At 40.8% G+C, this 25,858-nt stretch overlaps 1 protein-coding gene and 1 long non-coding RNA gene across 9 annotated transcripts in view; one reads left to right on the top strand and one right to left on the bottom strand.

Moving 5' to 3' along the window:
* Positions 1-11,454, top strand: part of LOC101928417 (uncharacterized) — a 37,069-nt gene extending 25,615 nt beyond the window's left edge. The window contains exons 2-3 of the long non-coding RNA NR_110937.1: positions 9,937-10,040; positions 10,239-11,454. This is a non-coding gene — a long non-coding RNA (uncharacterized LOC101928417). The remainder of the gene's footprint in view (positions 1-9,936; positions 10,041-10,238) is intronic.
* The window catches only part of CDH13 (cadherin 13), a 1,173,672-nt gene that overhangs the window by 835,957 nt on the left and 311,857 nt on the right, over positions 1-25,858 (bottom strand). The window lies entirely within an intron of this gene.

Raw genomic sequence — 25,858 nt, 5'->3', positions numbered from 1 at the left:
ATTAACCACTGGAAGCTTTACATATATTTTCTCAGTCCCTTTATGAAGAAGTGTTATAAGTTGGTTTCTTTCTTTTATTTCAAATAAGGAGAATGATGTTGATAAAGCTCACCCACTTAAATCCACGTGGCGGATGGAAACAAGCCATGGCCTTTATTAATAAAGAAAACCTGTGTGGCCCTTATCCAATGTGGACAATTATCTCCTCTTTCTCTTTACTTCTCCCTGGAGGTTTAATGGGCTAAGCCGCTGTCTGCTTTTTAAGAGGGCTACCTGCTGTCACAGAATCCCCAACTGTTATCACCGAAGTACATTGGTGGTGTTTTGAGATGTCGTGTACTTGATATTTTCCTTTTCAGTCTAGTAAGCCCTTTGGGATCTTTCAAGATAAAACCACTTCATAAATGTAGCTGTATTACAGAGTAAAATGCTTTACAGGGGACTTCAAGGAAATTACATCAGCCTATGCCTCTCTTTTATGGAGCTCCACCATTGAGATTGTTTTATTAATACAGAGCAGGCCCATTATGGATTTATGAGATCTCAGTGATCTCCACTCCTTTTTCTCTTTGGCGTGTGCTCCTGTTCCAGCGTCTGAGGGTCATACTGTACAAATCCAGAGTCACGGCATTGTGCACACAAAGCGACTCGGGAGGTCTCAAAAGCCCGCAGCTCCACCGGGCACTGGTGTTCCCTGTGTGAACAGCGGTGTGTGGGACTCCCACAAAGGAGTCACTGATGTTGCACTGCTGAGTCCAACTGTGAGAGCAGGCTGGGGGTCTCTATTCTCCGACCTGGCTTTCCGGTGCCCTTGCCATTGCTCCCGTAGGATCATGAGTATGAGGGCTTCAGAAGTCAGGCAGGAAAATGCTGTTCCCCTGGGCTTCCCGTGCCAAGGGGAAATGGGTACTTCATGCATGTCACTAACACATGCAGAGTAATCATCCAGCTTTATGGACTGCTTACTGTACACTGGGAATTGTAACAGGTGTTGAGGATTTAGGGGGGAAATACGAAGCAGATATGCGCTCTCTCCCCATGGAGCATACTTCCTAATGGGGAAGTCAGGTTTAAGTAAATCATTACAGAATGAGTTATATAATGACAGTTATATAAGGGGAAGACAGACTATGGGAAAATGTAAGAGGAAACAGAGTCACTTAAAAAGTGGAGTTAGAGGGGAGTGTGTGAGGATGTGATACGGTGAAACCATAGGACGTAGGGGACAGGGATCATGTAAGAGGTATTGAGAAAGGACGTTCCTTGCTGGTACTTTCTTTCCAGTTATTTCTTTTCTTTTCTTTGAGACAGAGTTTCACTCTTGTTGCCCAGGCTGGAGTGCAATGGTGCATTCTTGGTCCACCACAACTTCTGCCTCTCAGGTTCAAGCGATTCTTCTGCCTCAGCCTCCCTAGTAGCTGGGATTACAGGTGCCCACCACCACACCTGGCAATTTTTTTTTTTTTTGTATTTTTAGTAGAGATGGGGTTTCACCATGTTGGCCAGGCTGGTCTTCAACTCCTGACCTCAGGTGATCTGCCCGCCTCAGCCTCCCAAACTGCTGGGATTACAGGTGTGAGCCACCACACCTGGCCTGTTTCTTTAACACCATACATGTTGGTTAAACGGATAAAGATCAGGAAGTTTTAGGTGTTACTAGAAAAATATACAAATGATCATTTGTTAATTACAAATAACTTTTACAAAAGGAAGAAAAATAATTACACCTTTTACTAAATTATTATTTTGCTTATATATCATTTCCCTAATCTAATTTTTTTAAAGATATGTGTCTTGGGTTCTAGGTCATTAGTGACCATTAGTAAATGAAATTATTAAAAGTTTAAGTTTGTTTCTATTTCACACGTCTTGCTTTTCACAGCGAATCAAGCTCATTACTGTTACAAGATACTGACACCTTGAGATCTGAAAAACCAAAAAATTTAATGAAACAACCAGTTTTCAGAAATGAAATGTCGACAGAAGAATCATCACTGGATGTGTTGCTTGGCCTTCATGACTTCCCTGCCCTGGCCAGGGGTTCAGAGTTTCACCCGCATCTTTGTCAGATTCTCTTCTAGACCTTCCTACTCCCACTCCCGTCTGTCTTCAGCCTTATGAGTTGCATGCATCCTATCCCTTCTCATGGACCCCATCTCTCCTAATGTGCTTTGTTGAATTTTGCAAACAAAGGCACAGGCATCTGATCGGTTTCCTATTGCTGCCATACCAAATTACTACAAACCTTGTGGCAAAAAAACAATAGGGATTTATTCTCTCATACCTCTGGAGGCCAGAAGACCTAAATCAAGGTGTCAGCAGGGCCACGCTTTTTTGGAAGTCTCTAAAAAAGGATCCTTCCTTGCTTCATCCACCTCCTGGTGGCTCTGGGAATCCTTGGCTTGGGGCCATATTGCTGTAATTTCTGCCTCTATGGTTATATCACCCTCTCCCCTGTGTATCTGTTTTCCTCTATGACTCTTACAAGGCCACTTGAAATTCAATTTAGGATACGCTCAGATAATTCAGGATTATTTGATCTCAAGACCCCCAACTTAATTACCTCTGCAAAGACTCTTTTGCCAAATAAGCTCACATTCACTGGCTCCTGGGATTTGACATGGGTGTCTTCCAGTGGGCCACATGTCATAGCATCTATGTTATTTTACCATGGATTTACATCCAGGTAACTGGTGTTTCCCATGGCATCCATAAGCCTAGGGTTTCTCCACCTTGGCACTATCGATGTTTGGGGCCAGATAATTCTTTGTGGTGGAGGTTGTCTAGTGCATTGTAGGAGGTTAAAAAGCATCACTGACCTCTACCCACTAGAAGCCAACGGCAGCCCCCATCCCAACGGTGACAACCAAAAGTCTCCAGACATTTCCTTTTATCCTCTGCAGAGGCCAAATCACCCCAACTTGAGAACCAAAGACAGGATCAATTAGCACAGTACCATAGACCAGTTTGTTCTCATTCCTGGCTGTACGTTGGAATAGCATGGGTAACTTTGAAAAATACTGAGAGCAAAGTCCACCCTAGAGGGTCTAATTTAGTTAGTCTGGGGTAAGGCCCAAGTACCAGTAGTTTTTTTTTTTTTTTTTTTTTTTTAAGTCCCCTGCTTATTCTTATGGACAAAAGACTGTGAATTGCTGATAAAGACAGTAGGGGCTTCATAATAGTTTGTTCAATTGCAGGAAGTTCATTTCAACTCTTTCACAAATCATCTGGGGCCTTCATTTTATTATGTATGGAGAAGATTTACCCAGTGGAAAGAAGCCTAAAGAAAAGAAGAACAACATATTACTTCCTCTCTCGTCTCCATTTCCCCAGAACCATAGGTTAGTGACGTTTCCTTTTCCAAGGATGGCCTCTGAGGTGGGCACCTGGGAAAATGACGGGCGGCTGTAAGCCAAAGGCCGGGGTTTTAGGCCTGGCTACCCCATCTCCTCATTGACTTGTGGTGGGAAGTCCCACTTCATCTCTGGGCCTCAGTGTCCTTGTCGGGAAGGTGGAATGTGAGCTGGGATGAAGCCTGAGTCGGATTCAGCTGCTCCGTGCTGGCGCCAGCTCAGGGGGTGTGGGGAGGCAGTGGCAGTTGCAGAGTCATGTGGCTATCGACAGATGCATAAAAACGGAGCATCTGCTTTGGCCCTCAACTGTAGCTCACAGGAGACGTTGCCAAGGCAGAACCCAATGTGGAACATTCCAGCAATGAAAAAACTATCCATATTTTGTATTACCCTTTTTACCCCTCCAAATCACAGTATAAAACAGAAACGTGTACTAAAAAAGATTTGTATGGCATTCTTCCTAGAATTAAAAATCACAATAGACTTATTTGTATTAACAATAATTTTTTTTAAAGATTAAAAAAAATTACGACCTTGCTACAGACAAATGAAAGACAAACCTTCTCTATGACGTCCTTATACAAAGAAGTTCCCTAGAAGATATCAGAAATGAGCCTCTATAAGACTTGGGTGCCAAGTGCTCTTTGTTTCTGCTTTGCACGTTCTTGTGGTTACCGTACCTGCTATACCGAAATGGAAACTGAAGGTGCTATTTTGTTTGTGAAGCCCAGAAGGTGAAAAAAGATTGTTCTTGAGATCAAGTGGATAGCTTTTGCCTGTGACTATGCCACGCTTTGCATCGGGCATATTTATAGACATAGTCCTTTTCCACTTTCTCTCCAGCTTCCCACATCTCCCCTTGGCTCCAGACTCTTATTTCTAACCACCCACTCAAGATTTCCACTGTAGAATTTAACAGGCACTCATCTCTTTCCCATGTCAGCTCCCACCCCTGTCCTCCCATTATCAAGACAAATAGGTCCATCATGAACCACCATCCTCAAGCCCAAAGCACAGAAATCCTCCTTGAATCTTTTCTCCCAATTTCCACAAACAATTCTGCAGCAACTGTCAATTATATCATCAATATATGTCCCTTATCCTACTGCTTCTCATCATCTCAGCCACACCCACCCATGCTTTGACTCTCTCTCTCACCTCTCACCTGAACCACTGCAGAGGCTCCCTTCTGATCTCCCTGCTTCTGCATTTGCCCTCCCTACTGGCATTCTTGATCCATCATCCAGAGAATGTTTTTAAAACATGAATAGGATTGCATCACCTTACTGCTCAAAACTCTTCAATAGAATGTAAAATGGTATAGCCGCTCTGGAAAACAGTTTAGCAATGTTTTTTTAAAAAATAAAACAACACATGCAATTATATAACCCAGACATTGCACTTTTGGGCGAATTCATCTCAGAGAATGAAAACCTCCATTAAAAGAAAAATCTGTACACAATTGTGCATAGCTGCCGTACTCATAAATGCTAAAACTGGAAGCAAACCAGATGTCTTTCAGCAGGTAGAGGGTTAAAAACAACAACAACCGTGTGGTACATCCATGCCACGCAGTACTACTCGGAGATATAAAGGAACTTATAAACTTATATGGCAAACAGAACCTATGCAGGTGGAATTTGGGTTGTTAATCAGCTGACCTTAAAAAGAGTCTTCTCACTTACCCAGGTGAACCCAATGCAATCACAAGGGTCCTGAAAATTAGAGATGGAGGTCGAAAAGAGTGCAAAGGAGATGTAACTACTCAGAAAATGGCTGGAGAGATCCAACTTTTGTGGCTTTGAAAATGAAGGAAGGGGCTGTGAGCCTCTAGAAACTGGGAGAGGGAAGAAAGTGGATTCTGCCCTTGGGCCTCCAGAAAGGAACCAAAGCCATTCAGACATCCATGGGTTGCTTTAAGCCACAAATTTTGTCATAAATTTTTACAGAAGAAATAGAAAACTAATACAGGAGGCAAAACATCATTTGCCAGCCCCCTCCCCTGCCAAAAATCACCATGCAGGTTTGAGTGAAATGAATGTCCTTTAATTATATTGCCATAACCAACGCTTTCCTGTGTCTGTCATCTTTTTAAACAAAACATGAATTTGAAATGTAGAAAAGATTCAGGAAGGTAAACATGAATTGTAAAGTAGAGGCTTTCCAAATAAAAGGGGAAATTTACTTGTTGTGTATGTGCCATAACTGTGAAAGATAATTATTTATATCCAAAAGGGAAATGTCAGGTATTGGTTACAGCTGTCAGATCATGAACACTGCTGGGGAAGCCTTGCTCCTCGCCAAAATACTGTCTGATGTAGATTTCAGCAACACTGTAGAAGTCTAAGCACGTTGTAAATTTGATCTTCAGTCTTCTCTTTCTGCACCAGGAAAACCTTGGGGGTAGATTTCATTCGTTCATAACCACTTTAACATCTTCCCAGGTGGAAGGTTCCATTCAGACCTCAGGCTGAGTACTCACCCAGGTGAATGCACTTGAAGGCCTTTGGGCAGGGCGTGCATCGCATTGTTGACCCCAAGTTAACCGTCTCTCTTTCCTGCTTTTCACATGACTGCTACTGGTCCCTGAAGACAATGGAGCCTGTGACCTGCGGCTGGTGCCTCCTGGGTCAAGTGACTCCTAAATGAATGTTTTGAACTTACACTTCTCTACAGAGCTTCAGACCTGGCTATCTAATGCCTGTTTAATATCTCCATGGTGAATCCCTTGACCACTCAAATTGACCATGCCTAACGTTTTACTCATTGTCTTCCTCTCAAGCCCTCTCCTCCCCGACTGTGTTTTCCATCTTGGTGAACCATTCTATCAAATAATCAAATTTTTCAGGATAATTTTGCTACATTTCTATCTGGGCCATCTCCCTGACACTGGACCATCACTGGGTCCTTTCCATTATGCCTTCTAAATTTTTCTTCACCGCATCCTCTCCTTTTTACCCCTACTGCCTCTGCTGAAATTCATGCTTAAATGGGGGAATTTAAGTCAGCTCATATTTATCAAGCATGAACGATATATCAGACACAGTTTTAAGCACTTCTAGGTGAAGCGTCTCAGCTATTCCTCCGAGGACAATTGTTAAGTAGGTATTCAAGTTATTCTCATTTTTAGAAGCAGAGGTTGGTGCTAAGAGAGGTCAAGAATCTTTTCCAAGATCTGACAGCCAGGAATGGGTAGAATTGGGATTTTAGGTTAGGTATGGCACACAGCAGACTCTGAGTACTTAGTTAGGAATCTGTGAGTTTACTAAGAGAAAGACAGAGCTGTGGTGCCTCACCCACCTCTGCCATCTCTCAGACAAGTGTGGATACCTTAGACCAAGTACATTAAGAAGAAAGTGAAGAGGCGTCTTCCACAGGACTCCTTTTGTCTTGCCTTATGAAGAAATAAACACTGGCAAAATTATGAGTGCACATTTTCCAGCTATCATGTCTCCAAAAGAAGCAATAACTGGTCATAGCAGAAAAAGTTTAAGAGATATTCATTATAGTTATACTAGAGATCATTTCTTAAGTGCTAATCATTGGCCAGATATTTCCTAGGTAATTTCTAGATATTATCCCATTTAATGCATATAACATCCTTGTGGGAAAATAAAGCTCAGAAAACTTAGGGAATTTGTAAATATCACAATAATAAGTGATTATGCATCCAGACCTTTCTGAGTCCAAAGCTGGTGTTCTTAATCACTAAAGTATACTGCCCTGCATGTTTGTTCAGCACAGAGGGTGGATTCAGAAGATAGCAGGGGGGCGTGTACATGTTATGGGTACTTGGGAGGCACCTGACTTCTCTAAATTTTATCATTTGTAAAGAGGGCATGCTATTGCCAACATACTAGTGGCCTTTATCTATCTTGAACTTCCAATATCTGACATTGTTGACTTGGAAATTTGTTTAGTTAGCAAAAAATGGTGTGATTCCAGTGCCCACAACCCTGCCAGGATTGCCATGTTTGGAAGGAAAATGTACTTATTTCTTCGGATTAGTTTTACATAAAATAATTACCAGAAACTTCTATTTGTCCCCCAAAGAAAGACCAATAGCTCTTGATTTTCCTTGCAGCTAGATTTAGTCATATGGTCAACAGCTCGCCAAGAAGATATGAGGAGAGGTGGTAGATGCAACTTTCCACTTGTGTATTTCAAGAGAAGGGATATGGCTCCCCTTTCCCCTTTCCCACTGACTGGGATAGAATGTGGATGTGGTGGTGAGTTGTCTGGGGCCATGAGGACACAGGATACATTCCACAAATGCCATAAAATAAGAGGGAAGCCAGGTTTTAAAGATTCAGCTTCCTACACATCTCTCAGATAGATTTATGTCTCTCCACCCCTGTCTCCACTTTGTCTCTAAGTGACACAGTGGGGCCACCATGTCAATCTAGAACTGCTCCTGCCTGAACCATCACTTGAGAGAGTAATATGCATCTATCTTATTGAAGCCACTGACATTTGAATCTTTGCTATGGCATCCAAACCCATATCCTAATTAATAGAAATCCACTGAGACACAAGTTATTGAAAAAGTACTTTTCAAAGCTCATCTTATGCAAACTTTCCAATGTGAAAGAACCTGGCACATTCTAGGGATAGTAAGAGATTTGGTTTGGCTCTGCTCAACACAAGCATCTGCTAAGGGAGTGGGTAAAGATAAAACCAGAGATGGCATCAGGGGCTGGGTCATGAAGGACAGGCGCTGCTGTATTAAAGAAAATGGACTTAAACTCGGGGGTAATGATGATCCAAGAGGAGTTCCAAAGGGTGTGGCAGGATATACCTGAGCTTGAAAATAATCCTTCAGCTGCCATTTGGAGCAAGGCTCTGATATGTTAAAGAAAATGGACTTAAACCTGGGGGTAATAACGATCCATGAGGAGTTCCAAAGGGTGTGGCAGGATACATCTGAGCTTGAAAATAATCCTTCAGCTGCCATTTGGAGCAGAAATTAGATATTAAAGACTAGAATTAGGAATAAAAGGTTGCAGGCAAGAGATAATGGTGGTTTAGATCTAGGATGAAGATGAGGATAGACAGAAGCAAATCTGTCAGAGAGAAGTAGAAGGTTAAATGATGAAGACCTGCCTGACTAGAGGGTAGGTGAGAGAAGCCTACAGAAACACCGAGAATCATGCCCATGTTTGTGGTTTTGGCAACAGCACGGTGAGTAGCACCCTTGATTTGCTAAAATAGAAAGCATACACTGGAAAAAAAAGTCTGGGGCTGGGTTGAGGTTAGAGGTTGGTGGGGAGATTGAGTTTAACTTTGCACTTGGAGAGTTCAATGAACTATGGGACATCCAAGAGGCAGTGTCTAGTACACAGAGTTAAAAAAAATAAATCCAAGACTGAATGTCAGTGATGACACAGACTCTTGCATATTTCATAGTAGTATTTGATTATGCTAGGTAGAGGAAACACCTAAGGCATTCTTTGTCTCTTTATTTACATTGCAAACCCCTCCTGGAGAAGAGGTTTTCCACTTCTTTCTTGTGTGACATTTTAGAGCAGAGCTTGCCTTAGATTCAGGGTGAATAATCGGAATGCAGTAGCTGCTTGCAATGAAGAGAATCCCAGCAATGACTAAATGCTGTATCTTCTAGTGCAGTTTCCTTCAAAGTTTATTTTTCTCTAACACAATTGTATCTGTTTTTGTCCCCCCACTGTATTCACAGCACCTAACACAGTGACTGATTCACAGTAGGTGCCAAATAAAAACAAAAACGAATGCATGTTTAATGAACTGCCACCTGTATATGCTTTAAAATCTGGCTACTTAGAAACTGCAGGCCAAAAATGTTTCTGATGAAAGCATGCATCACTACACCCAGTAGGGTTAACCAGGCAACCCATAATCATAAACTAAATGGATAATTATGAAGCTAAAGTATTAATCATTTATAAGTAAAAAGCAAGTACAGGCATTAAAATCCAGAACCTACTCAACTCTGATCATGTACCGATAACATCCTTCTTGAATGTTTTAGGAATTCTGGAAATCTATGTCTGCAAGTGCCTGATGCTGATTTTTCTCCTTTGCCAAACAGTGTAAGGCAGGCATCTTGCTTAATTAAACAGCAAATTAAAATCATCAATAAACTCTAAGACTGCTTGGAAAAAGAATCTGGCAGTTCCTCAAAAGGTTAAAAATAGAGTTGCCGATAACCTAGCAATTCTAATCCTAGGTAGGTGCATATCCACACCAAAGATTATAGGCATATTTTCACAGCAACGTTATTCAAAATCGCCCCAAAGTGGAAACAACTAAAATGTTCATTGAGCAATAAGTGGATAAACAAATGTGATATATCCAGGCAATGGAATATTATTTGGCAATGCAAAGACTGAAGTATTGATACACGCTACAACAGGGATGAACATTTAAAACACTATCCTAAGTGAAAGAAGGCAGGCACAAAAGATCAGATATTATATTCAGTTTCTATAAAATGTCCATAAAAGGGAATGAAACAGAGACAGAATGAGATTTTGTGGCTGCCAGGAGCTGAGGATATAATGGTGGAAAATGAGGTATGACTCAGGATAGTGTTTTTTTTTTTTTCCAGGAGATTTAAAAAATATTCTAAAGTTCATTGTGGCGACGGTTGCACAATTCTGTGAATAGACTGAAAACCATGGAGTGCTACACTTTAAAAGAGTGAATAGTATGGTATGTGAATTATATCTCAATAAAGCTGTTGTTTAAAAAAACTCTAAGAACAAGGGCTCATTTGGTACATTATTGGACATTGGTAGCCTTCAGACACAGGGAGCAAAAAAATTCTTTGGAAGAGCACACCATCACAAGCGCTTTGTGACTCTGGATAAGTTATTTCAACTCATGAATTCTTGACTTCCTCTCTTGTAGGACGGAAGTGCAGCAGGTACTGTTCTTGTGTGCTCACATCCTTGTGCGTCACCAGAGGCTTTCTGGAAACCCCTGTATCTCTGTACCTGAGGGCTTTCTCTAGCCACCAGAACATGCTCAGCCCCTTCCCTTCCACAGGGTGAACTGGAAGTTCCGGGAAGTCGACTTCCCTGAAAGCAGCTCTGAACTAATTACAAACAGGAGTCGGAAGAGCAATACCCAGCTTCCTCACTGATTGTGTGGTACAACTCAAAGGTGTGTTCTACACTGTCCCCAGACGTGCCAAGGGGGGTGGCATCCCAGGTGCCCACAGAGACAATCTACCATTCAGTGCATCCTGGTGTTGCCTTCCTTGCCTTCCCCAGCTGACTTTCTTCATTCCCTACAGTGCTTCTTGGCATTACCTCCCAAATAAACTATCTGAGCCCATAAATGTCTGAGTCTGCTTCTGAAGGAGACCAACCTGAAATAAGGGATAATCAGAGTGCATTCCTCCTAGGTCTATTGGAAGGAAGAAATAAAATATTACATGCAGAGCATTTCAGCACTATGTCTGGCCACTTAATAATTGTTACCTACTATCATCATTATTATTGTCGTTGTTATTACTAAAAACAAATAATTGACTGGAATTGTTTATCAGATCTCGGCCCATCTGGAAGCCTGTCTTGGCTTTCCTACATATGTGAGACATGCCAAGCTGGTATTGTGCTTATTATTTCACCACTGAGCACCCAGTTCATTATTTTCCATCCAATTGACTCCAGGTTTTCAAAGACTTTATCTAGCAAACTGCACAGATTAAGTAATAATTTATTTTCTCACCCATGTTTTATTAATCAAAGGCACATATAACTGCCAACCAGAGCTGCTGATCAGAATTAAATTACTAAGTTCACCATGCAGAGCTAATATCATTTCAGTCAAAAGCAAAACATCTTGATGTTTTTGTTTGTGAAGCTTTATCATTTGTAAAAGTAAGATTATATTAGATTTTCTGAAATATTTAAAATAGCTTGCAGACCTTCATTGCCACCATCAGGGTCTCCTAAGAGCTAGAAACCCCATGTTGGTCACTGGTGATCTAATAAACCAAAATTCATTAAGAAGTGTATCTGTTTTTGCTATAAAAATTGGAGCAATAAAACCTTTATGGCCATATTTGGCAATAACCTTTCTGTATATGATGAGAAAATAAAGGATAAATGGATATTTAGTAATGTATTTTTTATCTTGACCTTTTCACAATGAAATATCCACAAATCTAAGAGAGGTTGGATTACACCAAGATGCTAGCCCACGCCAAGTTTCCTGCTATAATATCAAAAGATCATAGTCTATGAGGAAAAAGAAGGAGAAAGAAATAAGCAGTTTGGAACAGTACAGCAAAGAGGATATCTAATTCTCTATCGCTTAAAACAAATGGCACTTGCTGGCAGTATGTTCACAAGCAGATGTGCTGAGTACATTTGCTTAGTCCTCTGAATTTACTCTCCCTTCTATACCCTGCTCCGTCCTTTGTCAGAGCACCTGGCAGCCTTGTCTTCTGGTTTCCAGCTGGCTTCAGTAAATTAGAAGCACTAGTGAGGAATCAGAGGTGGAGGGAGAACAAGACAGGGTGTCAGTTCTTCTGGTTTCCTTCCTAAGGCTTCATACAGATAAGCATCTTGTGGCACCAGAGAGTAGAGAATGGTGGACAGTGGACCTGGAGGGGCCAGTGGGCTGCAGTTGGCCCACCAGGATTCCTAATATGTAAAATAAATACCAAAAAGTTCACAGGGTTTGTATGAGAATTGAATCATCTGATCCACAGAAAATTGATCACATTGCCTAGCAGGTAATAAGTAAACAGATATTAGCTACTGTTATTATATTCAAGGATCTGTAGAAAAGTTATGGTTATTCTCTGCTTTTTGAAAAGCAACAAGCACTGTTTCTCCTATTGTAGGGATCTGAACTCACATTAGAGCCATCACTGCTCTAGGCAAGAGGATAACTTACGGGCATGAATGCTAGCCAACACTCATTGAAAGCTTACTATTAACCAGGGACTATGGTAATTACTTTCCAAGTGTTGTCTCAGCTTTGCATATAGAAATACCATAGCCAATGAGGTTTATCAGAGGTGCAATGATTGCTCATTGAAAACTCGGGCTAGCAGGAGTAAGAAAGCTGCCCACGCTCAGATGGTACATGACAGGTAGAAGTGGCACTTGAACTCAGGCCCATGCGCTTCTCGGGCAGCACCCACGTTCTCCTGTTAACAAGAGACCAGTTCTTCAAAGTGAATCCTGAGCCACTTGATGAGCAAGGAGTCACGTTGTCTGAGTGTGGAAAAATGTCTATGCATTTATCATTGTCAAAACTCCTTTCGAGAAAATGTGCAGTAATTGCACATTTAATTCAGCCCCAGCACAACACAATGTTCCAGTGAAGCGTATAGCCAAGTGACATGTGTTGAGATGACGACCCTGTTGGGAGGGAGTCTTGTAAACCTTGCACTAAAGAAAAATGACAAACACACACATGCAGTGGTTTATGGGGCTCATCTCTTTGTTGCACTTCTGTGGCTCCTGGGAAAGAAATGGAACACTTAGGAAGATATACTGAGCCTCCTGATTCCCATGGGTGTACAACAGCTGAGCCCGTGTGTGAATTTATGTCCTTGAATATTCATCAAAATCCCCAGGGGGAGACAGTTATGGACATCAGAGAAAGCCTGGGTCCATGATGAATGGACCCTCTCTTTGGAGTTACCTGGGCCTCCCTGCACTTGAGCCAAGCCTGGGAGAGTTGTGGGGAGCACATGGCAGCCCTGTAGATGCTGGCAGTAAGGAAACTCCTGCTTGGGCATCTCAACAAAATAGGACTCATTGCCATGGACTGAGCTCATGCCGTGGTCTCGCATAAGAACCTAAATGTGGTTCTTTTAGATGAAGCCAGCGTACCCAACGACCTCATGGTGAGCTGTGTCCTCGGCTTGGGAGGAGATGAAAAGTCCTTTCCTACTTCAGTCTTACCCATGCCAATAGCTGAATATCAGGACCCATTTCTTGTATCTATACCTCCAGCTCAGGACAGAACACCTTATAGGAAGCAGATATCAACTGACATTTCTTTCTGAATCAATGAAAAGCCACTTCTTCTTTGAGAGCACAGGCAGTCTTTCCTCTCCAGAGATTGGGATGGGGTGAGGGATGTGGGGGAAGGAGATATCCTCTTGCCAGCTCACAGTCTCACAATGATTCCACTGACTTTTGTAGAGGACAAAATCCTCACACATGTACACAAGCACACACACAAACTTGCACATCCCTCAAAACATGGCCATTGTGACCTGTGCCCTCACTCCCTGGCCATTGAAGATTGAGCCAAGGGAAGGTATCTGGGCTCAACTGGACCAATAAAATTCTTCTCGAAGATGTGAAATTCAGGACACAGAAATATGGTGATGCGCAACATCTAAGCTGAAGCATAGCAGTTGGAGAGTTCTAGATTCACACATTGCAGTGCCCAGACAGGTTTGGTTTCCTTCTCTTTATGATCAGATGCTCTTTTGTGTCCATGTGCATACAACTCTCTCACTGCTGTGGGTTTCACTGTCCTCGCCAACCACCACCAAAAAAAAAAAAAAAAAAGATGTGGGAGTTCTAACTCTCAGTGACTTTATTTGGAGATAGGGTCTTTACAGAGGTAATCAAGTTAAAATAAAGTCATGGGTAGACCTTAATCCAGTATCACTGGTATCCTGTATTAGTCCATTTTCACAATGCTGATAAAGACATGTTTATAAAGAAAAAGATGTTTAATGGACTCACAGTTACACGTGGCTGGAGAGGCCTCACAATCATGGTGAAAGGCGAAAGGCACATCTTACATCAGCAGCAAGTGAAAAAGAGAATGAGAACCAAGCGAATAGGGAGACCACTTCTAAAACCATCAGATCTCCTGAGACTTACTCACTACCACAAGAACAGTATGGTAGAAACCACCCCCATGATTCAATTATCTCCCACCCAGTCCCTCCCATAACACGTGGGAATTATGGGAGCTACAATTCAAGATGAGATTTGGGTGGGGACACAGCCAAACCATACCACGTCCTTACCAAAAAAAATGGGAGATTTGGACTCAGAGGCAGACATAGACACAGGGAGACTGGCATGCAAAGGGAAGGTTGAGATTGGGATGATGCGGCTATAAGCTAAGGAATGCCAAAGGTTTCTAGCAAACCTCCAGAAGCTGAGAGAGGCATGAACAGATTCCCCTCACAGCCCTCAGAAGAAACCAGCCCTACCTACACCTTGACCTTAGACTTCCAGCCTCTAGAAGAGATTGACAGGAAATTTATTTTGTTTAAGCCACCCAGTTTGTGGCACTTTGTTATAGGAGCCCTAGTGAACTAAGACACACCTCAACAATCTTCTTTCTTCCCTTTTCTTACCTGCTTGATACTAACCATTGTGAATTCCTTTTGCTTGCAACCAAGAGAAATCTAACACATACCCCAAGTAAACCACAGTGAACACAGATTCTGATTTCAAATGAAGCACCCAATTGGTCAGGATCTTGAACTCAGGATCCTGGCTTTTATCAGTCACTGTAACATTCATTTTGAGTCTGTAAAGCAAAGCAACTTATAATTAACACAAAGAGGCTGTAACACAGAAACCAAGGAGATGCCCTTAGACCAAAGAGGTGGTAACTAGAGAACATTCTTTTCCAGACAGAATGTGTTGAGAAAAACAATTTGCTATAAAAAAAAAGTTTTCTCTGACTGTTGCTAGCACAAATGGCAGAAAACAAAGAAGCTCTTAAAGGCAAATAAGTTGGTTTTTATCTCACCCAGTATCATAGAAAAGATCATTATAAAAAACAAATGCACGCATTGAAATATTGACCCTATTAAGAACTGTCAGGAGATCCCCATTTAGGGGTTGAATTGTGTCCCCCTAAAAGAAACGTCCAACTCCTAACCCCTGGAATCTGCAAAAGTGACCTTATTTGGGAATAGAATCTGTGCACATGTCATCGAGTTAAGAGGAAGCCGTTAGAGTGGACCTATTCCAGTATGCGTGGGGTCCATATAAGAAAATGCCATGTGAAGACAGAGACGCAGGGAGAACACTGTGTGAGGAACAAAGCAGAGATTGCAGTGATTCAGCTACAAGCCAAGGAACACCTGGGGCTGCCAGAACCTAAAAAAGGTGAGGCCGAATCCTCCCCTAGACACTCTGAAAGTAGTGTGGCCCTTGACAGCACTTTGATTTCAGACTTCTAGCTTCCAGAGCTATGAGACAAGTAGTTTCTGTTTTAAGTCACCCAGTACTTTTTCATGTCAGCCCTAAGAAACTAATACATCCCCTCATTCAAAATATCTCTTTGGGTCATAAGGAGGTTTACACAGGGTAATTTGCCAAAGATTTGAAAACTCTCTCACAATGTAGAGTTGAAAGATGTTTACAGTCACTGAATTTTCTATAGTAAGTTTGAAAGTGCTATTACTTACAAGGTCTGGACCAGATATATATCACGAAAGTAAGTAAACTTTGTCTTTCCTTCTGGTCCTCATTAAAATGTGTTCAGTAAATTGATGTCAAAATAATTAATACTCTACAATCATATTTGAACATTGGTTACATTCAAACCAGGAAGATTAGTTATATGGTACCTTTTGGTGTGTTTGTAATAAAGGTTCTGCTTTTGAGTGGTGTAAAGAAGGCAACTGAGAGAAAATTTAAAAACAAGGCATTCTAGACAACATTTTGAAAGTGACTAGTAGCAGAGTTTGCATTAGGCTGTGTCCTGGAACAACTCTGTTCTTAGAATAAAAATAAAAGATTGTCATTTTGGTTGGTTGAAGAACTCTTCCTTCACTTTCCAGCAAAGATTCTTATGCCTTTGATCTTTTGATTGTTCCCAAATAATGATGTGTTTGTTCTAAAAATAATTCTTCTTCAAGGAAGAAACACAAATGTATTTTTTGGGACTGTGATGAAGACAGCAAACTGAACTCTAAAGGGGGAAGAAGAGAAATCTATTGAAGGCATGCCATGTGTTAAATTTACTGCTGATGTTCCAAGAAAATCTTCCCCTAATATTTTTAGACTGAGATTAATGTATTTGCAGACAATTTTAGAATATAAAGAATCCTAAACTGAACTTCTGCTTTATTGTCTTGGTCCTAGAGTCAACCTTGTGGCTTAAAAATTTAGAAAGCAGATTTGGGGGAGTAAATACATAATGTTGGCTTATCCAAATAACTTACTCGGGTGCTTTGGGAATCAAAATGGTGTTTCATTTCTTTGTTTTGATAGAAGAATAACGTTAGAGTTACCGGCTTTACTAAGCATTGTATGACAATATCTTTCAATGTCCATTAAAGAATGCTTAGTAGAATAAATATTAAATTACCATGTTACATCTCCATAAATACATGTGAAGTCCACATGAATGCCAAATGAATTCAATATGGTCCTTTCTATTACAATAAATGCCCAGTGAATTCAGAGTGATGAGGCACTTAAAATGTCACACACTCCCAACTAGTTCCATCATGAATTCATTACTCCCTGTGACACTCATTCTTGTCAGGGTTTCCATTTTAAATACTACTTTCAGCAGTTTATCATAAAATTCCACTTGAGGAACTGATTCTCATTGGAAATATGGAAGATAAACTCTAAGCCTGGAAAGTAACATCAAAATAATTTGACTGTAGTGGGATTCCCACCCCTACTCCCAAACTTGCAAGCTTAATATTTGAATAAAATATCTAGTTATGGCTTTTGATATTTTATATCAAAGAAAATTAAATTTGTTAAGTTTCCTCCTTGAATAAAGAGTTCTTTTAAAATGTCTTTTTGTAAAATTTACTTAATTTTGTACCATTCTTATTAATTAAGGCAGATGTGTCAAAATTACATACAATAAGCAAATGGAAAAACCGAAACATCAAATTAAGATAATTATCGTAGTTAACACAGAAGTATGGATAATATCTGATTTCATGATCTAATATTTCCGTTTTTCCAGTATTATCCAAAATATCCAGTTTGCAACTATAATATTTTTTAATTCTGAAACGTTATACTCTTGACCGTCACCTCCTGGGTACACACTCTTGGTCACTCTTGTGTAAGAAATAAGTAGATAGACAGAATAAACACAGAAAATAGGAGGGAGAGAAAGCTGAAGAAATACAAATTGCCAACTGATGCATTTGACATCCAAGCAGGTAGTAGGAATAACCACCTACTCTGGTTGAGGTGTGATGGATCACTCAAGCTTAAAAATTAAAATACAAACTTGTCATTACTGACATCAACTAGCTAGCATTGACAGTAATCAGAGAGAGGAATAAGGAAGGGAGATAGCCTTAAACTTTCTTACAACATCACACACACACACACACACACACACACACACACACACACACACAGGCGTGCGCACTTATAAAGACTTTGGCCTAGTGTTATTAGCAACAATTTGATTGTATGTATCCAATCTGTTATGGCATCCTTTCTAATAAATATATATGCATTTTAAATGCAGATTCTGCTTAAAACACTTTCAACTTCACTCTAGTGATTGTATGTATAAATCATTTTGACGTTCAGTGAATTTCTAGGCATATGTATTTATGTTAGTGAACCATAAATCAGATATGTTGCCTTGAGATTTTGTTTTGTTACTGAATGAGTATGTTTTTTCTTTCTTTTTTTTGAGACAGAGTTTCATTCTGTCACCCACGCTGGAGTGCAGTGGTGTGATCTTGGCTCACTGCAACCTCCACCTCCTGGTTTCAAGCAATTTTCACGCCTCAGCCTCCTAAGCAGCTGGGATTACAGGCACAGGCCACCACGCCAGGCTAATTTTTGTACTTTTAGTAGAGATGAGGTTTTGCCATCTTGGCCAGGCTGGTCTTGAACTCCCTGGCCTCAAGTGATCTGCCTGCCTTGGCCTCACAAAGTGCTGGGATTACAGGCATCAGCCACCACACCTGGCCTAAATGAAGATTAAGCTTAATTTTATATGATGAAATAGGACAAGTTTAATCAGGGTGCTTGACTATCAATAAAATATTTCATAAGTAATATTACTACTTATGTTAGAACTTACATTTTTGAGAAGCTGCTGATGTTCTTCTTTCCATTATTCCATCCTTCCACCCTTCCCTCCCACATCCATTTATCCATCCCTCTCTTCCTCCCTCCCTCCCTCCATTCATCCATGTATCCATCCATCCATCCATCCATCTAGTCATTAATTTAATCAACAAATAGTTATGGAAATCTAGTATGTTCTACATGTTGCAAAAGACACAGGGGAGGGCAAAAGATCAGAAAGACTTATACTGTCCCCTCAAGAAGCTCAGTTGATCAGGGGAAAGAGAAATATAAAGTTATAAGACGCCAGGAGAAGTGCTATAAAATTCAGAATTACAAAACATACGGAAGGACAAAGGTGAAGACCACATCCTTCCTCCAAAGAGTCGTAGAAGAATTCACAGAGGAAATGACAGCCAAACTGTGGCCACCAAAGGAACTGAGAGTGTCCCTAGGAAATGACTCAGAGGAAGAGTCTTTAGGTAGGTATTTTATCTTGACTCTCTAACACGGTGCCTCTCCATGTGCCTAAATCACAGGAAATATTTTTTAGGATAATAATACTTTTGGCCTATCAAAACGCCTTGTGTCAATACCCTTTAAATATTCAGCAAGATGGAAGGAGCAGAGTGAAGTTTCCTTTCCTTGCAGATGGGACTTAGTATAGAAGAGGGAGTTTATCATCCTGCGGTATCTTCACAGCAAATGAGAAGGGGTGTCACCCAAAGCAAAACTAAACAACCGCGAAGAAAAAAAACACAAAATCCTTGATATGCACCACAGTAAATGCCCTAAGAAGATATTTTGTTATTATTGTTATTGTTCTTCCATCCTCGTAGAAACTACCGATGGTGCAGAAAGTCGTTTAGCACCCTGTAAGGGAAAGCTCTCGGTTTCAGTCAGTGGCCTAGGAAACATCATCTTAATATCCATTTCGTACTTGATCCAGGAGTGTTTCTGAAGACCTACACTGAGGCTTGACCAACTATGGTCCAAGAGCCAAATCTGACCCTTTGTTTTTTTGTATTAAGTTTTATTAGAACACAGTCACACCCATTTGTTTCCATATTGTCTGTGGACACTTTGGGGACTACACGGGCACAGTTGAGTGACTGCCACAGAAACTTCATGGCCCACAAAGTTGAAAATATTTACTATCTTGTCCTTTGCCAACACTTATTTACATTAAGTTCTACTTGAGAAATGTCTTTGTGTTATTAAAAGCTTTCTCTACACTGTTTTCTCCTCATGGATAACAAAAAGTATAATGACTGTTTCTATTTTTGTTTTGGCTCTCAGGAAGCTCAAAGAAAATGACAGCAATTATAAGTCAGACTGTCAGATTACCAGTATAATATATTTTCTACAGTTGCTACTGCCTACTTTAATTTGTATTTCCCCCTGTGTATTTTTTTAAAATTTCTCTTAACTACTTTATTGAGTGTTATTTATATACCTGCTTTACCTAATACCTTGTGAAATGAAGTAGGGAATGGAGAAGTTGTAAATAGATAGATAGGTACAAATGTATCAGTCTCTGTCTGTCTCTCTCTCTCTCTTTCTCTCTCTCATCAAATAAAACAAATAAATTCACAAGGGCCTATGAAGAAATATGTGTTGTTTTAGAAGGGAGCAGTAATGGGCAGGTACCCAGGGTTTCTCAACAGTGGTACTGCTGAAATTTTGGGCCAGATAATTCTGCTATGATAGGCAGTCCTGTATATTGTAGGATGTTAACACCACCCCTGGCCTTCACCCACTAGATGCTAGTCATGTTCTCCTCCCACTCCTGGTCCACACTGTCACAACAAAAAATTATCTCCAGACATTGCCAAATGTTCCCTGGGAAGCAATCCATGACCCTCACTCCAGTCTAGAAAAAGCAGCTCCCTTATGCATTCTCCCTTAATAACCTTCCTGACCAACTTCTCTGTTCTGTTGAGAGATCAACAATCCCATAAAGGAGTCCACCAAAGCCCACTACAGACACACAGTATCGGTAAACACGTTGAGTAGTAATCCATTTTCCACCAGGTTAACCAATGCCTCTGCAAGTCATACCAGAAGCCTGGGACTGGAGGATGTCATAAAACCAAATCCCATGAATGGAACTCCAAATTAGGGCCCTTCCACAGTCCGTTAATCATGCTGGACAAAGAAAGGTGTGGTTTGCCTTGTATTCTCAGTTCTCCTAAGACGATTCTCCTGATCTCTAATGACAGTAATGAATTACATAATGGCTGAGTAATGAATTGGGTTATTTCCTAAGGCTGGAGATCAAGAGACATTAAATACTTAATCTCAAGGGGACTCAGCTGATAAAGGGCTATCTGAGTGCATTCACTGCAGTGGAAGCCAGACCTGAATAAGATGCCAAGGACAACATTGCCTGGGCCCTCTTTCTCAACAGGTTGCAGAGTCAGCTGAAGCTGCTAATTGTAAAAGATGCAAGAAAATGTGAAGTTACCTCAATGATGTGGCAAGCCGATTGCTTGACAAAGAAAACTAAGTCATTATTAATAGCATTTTGTCTTGTTTCCCTCAAGCATCAAGACACTACCTTGAGAGACATCTGTGTAATTGATTGCAGCAGTCCAAATTCTATCTCAATTGATACAGCCTGAAGGGCAAGGCCAGGTTATATTTCTTTGTTCTCCAAAGTGTCTTGGACATAATAAGTGCTCAGTAAATATTTGATTGACTTGATAGGGGCTGGTGGTTTTATCCACAGATATTGCATCAGACATACATTGCCTAATAAAAGCCAACTCATCAGTCAGAGCCTCTTATGGAAGGAAGAAAGGGCCTATTTCACCCAGAAAGGAATTTCAGGGTCTTATGCGAATAATCACACCTTTTGTCATGAATTCTTCTTCCATTTGAGTCATATAAACTTTCACTATTGGATGCTTAGGTTTATATAAGAAAAGAAAAAATCATTCACTGGGATTTCAGTCATTTTGCCAAAATTAGATTTTCACAGTCTATCCTGCAAAGGGTACATTATGAGAACTGATCTAGCAATACTATCATATGTGGCTCATGATGCTAAAGGAATATATAACACATAAATATGGAAAAAGGAAATTGTGCCTTTATTTCTTCTCTATGCATGAGAAAAAAAGTCTGTAACAGAGACAATCAGAATGGAAGAATGGAAGCTCAGTAAGTGGGAGATGACAATAATTGTAAATGCTAAACTCTCAAATCAAATATATAATTAAATGTATACGATTCCAAAGTGCAATTAGTCATGCACCATAAGATTTTTTGGACACATATTGATAGTGCTAAGGCAGAGCTGTCATATTAAAATGGGAATCAATTAGCTCATTCTTAGTTAGGCATACAAATAAATTCAGCTTTTCCAAGGAGGTAATCAAGGATACGGGGTAGAGCACAGACTCTGAAGTTAAACAGAACTGAGTACGAGTCCAAGCATCACCACATTATAGCTCAGCAACTTTGAGCATTTGTACCTACAGGCAATGCAGGGTCATGGGAAGAGGGTGGATCTATTGGGAAACCTGAGTTCCAATCCCAGCATTGTAACTCATCAACTCTGTGACCTTGGGCATATCACATGTTCTCTTTAAACCTCAATTTCACATCTTTACAATGAGGTTATTTGACTTCTTCTTGGGCATCTTCCTTCTTTTATTGTTGTTATCTATTCCAGGCCAGTGCACATACAGCATGGTTCACATTGGCCACATCACAGGACCCATCATAAAATGAGAAAACTGCCAAGCAGGGCATGCCCTAGAATGCAGACGCACAAAGTACTTCTCCACCTAAATGGCACATCCGCTCAGAAAGCCAACTCTGACCCTCTTCCCTTAGGTCAAATCCTCTGGCGTGTGTTATAGTCTGTATTTCTATTACCAGAGCACTTATAACAGGATAGTTTTAAATGCCTACATAAAAAGGAAGATGATTAAAATTTACCACCCTCATATTGGCACAAGGTTAAATATAAAGACCAGGGAAAGACAGTGCGGAAATAGATCACACATATTGGTTATTTGATTTATGGCTGCAATTCAGTGACGGAAAGGGTGATCTTCTCAATACATTTTGCGGCAGCAACTGGAAAAATCATACATCTTGACCTCTACCTCACACCATACACAAAATTAACTTAAGATGAAAATTAATCATGAAACCTACGAAAAGCAAGCTTTTAGAAAACCTAGTGGAGAATGTCTGTGACCTTGGGGTATGCAAATATTTCTTAAACAGGACACAAGAAGCAATAAGCCTGATAGGAAAAATAAATAATTAGCCTTCATTAAAATACAGAACATCTGTTTATCAAACGACACCATTAAGAAAGTGAAAGACAAGACACAAAGGGAAGAGACTTGTAATTCATGCATCTGACAGACTTATATTCAGGATATATGAAGAACTCCTTGAATTACCACTGAGGGAAGTTTCTTTTAAATGGAAGAGAACTGTTATATTCTGGAGAACAACTTCCTGGGTATGAATATAAGTGCTTGAGACTGGAACTCAATGAGGGAGCAAGAATATAGAATAATCATGCCATGTGATAGCCCCCATATACTGGGCAGAACATTAAGAGAAGGAGAGATGGGAACAGGGATGGAAAAAGAAAACTCGGAGGTGGTTAGAGATAGAGAGCTCGGTACAAGCAACAAAAGAAAATGTGCCTGGTGCCTGGAGGACATTTAAGAATAGCCGTGTTTAATATTCCACTGGGAGTTGATACAATCTCCAAATACAACTTTCTAGAATTTCAATAAAGTGTGCTATCCACACAATGCTTTATGTAAATTTTGGCGCACAAAGGAAAGGGAAGGGCTATTTTCTACACGTGGATTGTGCAATGTAAAGATGATGAAGCAAAACAACGAAATAAGCAGAAGCTGATCTTAGAGCTAGGAGGGGACCTTTGGTAGGTGAGCACCCACCCCCGTGAAATTCCAGAAATGTCATGGATATCACTGAGCATTCTCAAGGCACAGAACAGGGTTTTGGTCCAACGCTATCTAGATTTCACTGAATGGGAGATCCCAGTTGGCATGCAGTTAACATATTTTCATTGCTCTCTCCCAACTAAAACCTAAAATTCTTTGAGAGCAAACTATGTATAGGAGCCCCAAAATATTCAATGGTTAATGAATGAATAAATAAATGAATGTGGATGAACGGAATTTAGGCATTTTGTTCACTCTGGTCAGCTTTCAGAGCTTCCTGATCACTTTTCATCCAATCTCTCATTTTACTGGTGTCTTTTCATTTGACCATTTTCCTATCGTTTGCCAGAAGTTCCCCGTCATATGCTTGTTGTATTGTCCATCTACAAAGCAACATTTCAGCCCAAATGTGCACCTTCTCCATTTGGGGATGAGTTGCACTACAGCATACAGTGATTCAAACACATTTGCAAAATAATTACCCCTCTTTCATAACTGAGGCTTTTATCTGAATAAATGTTTCCCTAATAAAGCTTGCAGCTGGGTTGAGTTTGAGAAATACAACAATTAGGAGTCATGGGACAAGAGCTCAAATAAGGGTTCCCTTTAAACACCAGCATTTGCTTCCCACATCTCTGATTAGTAGGAATAGGGCCTGTATGTGCCTGCCAACACAGCACTGATTGGTAATCAAGTGGCCACAGTATGTGTGAGCAAAAGAAAATTAGAAAACAAACGTAGACGCTGATTAGTTTTCTACAAACATCTTGAAAGATGTATGAAGCAGGAACCAGCTAAGGTGAAGCAGGTAAGAAGAATCCAGCTCTCCTTGCTTTGCCAACTTTACCTGAACCAAATCTGGAAGTAAAAAAGAAACTATGGAACAAGGCATCAAACTGATTGCAAAACTCAAATCAATCTATGGAGTAATTAGTAAGGACAACAGCAACAACCACAATCATAACTGCTAAGGTTTGGACTCAACCTCACCACCGAGCAAAACAGTGATGTTTATTAGCTCATTCTGGTGTCATAATTACTCCCCGAGGTGACTGTTAATTTTTGCCGTCTCCATTTTACAGGTGGAAAAACTGAGATTCTGCAAGGGAATAATTTGCTCAAGGCAACGTATTCAAGTGACGGAACCAGGATTTATACTGATGTCTTCCTCTCCATATTTCAGGCTTTGCATTTGACCTACTGATATGGTTTGGCTGCGTCCCCAACCCAAATCTCATCTTGAATTAATAATTCCCACACGTTGTGGGAGGGACCTGGTGGGAAATAATTGAATCATGGGGGCACTTTCCCCCATACTGTTCTCATGGTAGTGAATAAGTCTCATGAAATCTGATGGTTTTATAAGGGGAAACCCCTTTCATTTGGTTCTCATTCTCTCCTGTCTGCTGCCACATGAGACACGATTTTGCTCCTCTTCACCTTCCACCATGATTGTGAGGGCTGTGAGTCCATCAAACCTCTTTTTCCTTATTACCCAGTCGAGGGCATGTCTTTATCAGCAGCGTGAAAACGTGCGAATATACCTATAGTGGAATGAAATATATTTGAACAAGCCAAGGGGTGACAAATATTATCAACAATATTATAAGCAGCATTAGAGAAATGGGTTTAAAAAATCCAGAGATTCAAGGATGTAAGGGTAACCTTTGCAGCTAGTGGGAACCGGTGAGGAGAAAGGACTTCTTAAAAACATCCATTCTGGAGAAGACAGCAAACAACCACACTAATAGAAGAGACCCACTGTTAACATTCAATTTTTACATTTGCTTCAGTTAGAATATCTAACCCATACTTGAAAGAGTGTACTTGGGGATCTCACCTGAGTATTCGCTTTAGGTATGTGCGTAATTATTCATTGTTCTGTCAACAGGCCTCCCTCCTTCCCTCCCTCCCTCCCTCCCTCTCTCCCTCTCCCTCCCTCTCCCTTGCTCCCTTTTATTTAATTTTTTTTGAGCTAAGGTCTTACTCTGTCACCCAGGCTGGAGTGCAATGGTGCCATCTCAGCTCACTGCAACCTCCGTCTCCCTGGCTCAAGCATTCCTTCTGTCTCAGCCTATTGAGTAGCTGGAACTACAGGTGCACACCAGCACACCTGGCTAATTTTTGTATTTCTAGTAGAACAGGGTTTCACCATGTTGCCCAGGCTGATCTCAAACCCCTGAGCTCAGGTGATCCATCTGCCTCAGCCTCTGAAATGTCTGGGATTGCAGGCGTGAGCCACTGCACCCAGCCTTGTGACCACTGCTTTCTAATGCCATTTTCCACACCAGAGGAGATGCTGTCAGTGTCTTGCCAAATTCCTCAGACTGCACCCCACTTCACTGTGCTCCAGACAACCTCCCATTGCAGGATGTGCAGTTCTGTGCCTGAAGGCTTTTCCCAGAACCACAGAAGATGAATCTTCCTGTGTATGTGGCAGGTGTGATGCCCCTCTGGTTGGAAGTGTTCCCAAATCAACACCCTTTTTCTGGGAGTAGTCCTCAACCAAGAGCACTGAAATAAGTACCTCCAGCTGAAGGGAACTCCCTCCCTCCTCAGGATGGATAAC

This window comes from Homo sapiens, chromosome 16 (genome assembly GCF_000001405.40).
Source record: "Homo sapiens chromosome 16, GRCh38.p14 Primary Assembly".
Lineage (NCBI taxonomy): Eukaryota > Metazoa > Chordata > Mammalia > Primates > Hominidae > Homo > Homo sapiens.
This window is presented reverse-complemented; position numbering and strand designations above follow the sequence as displayed.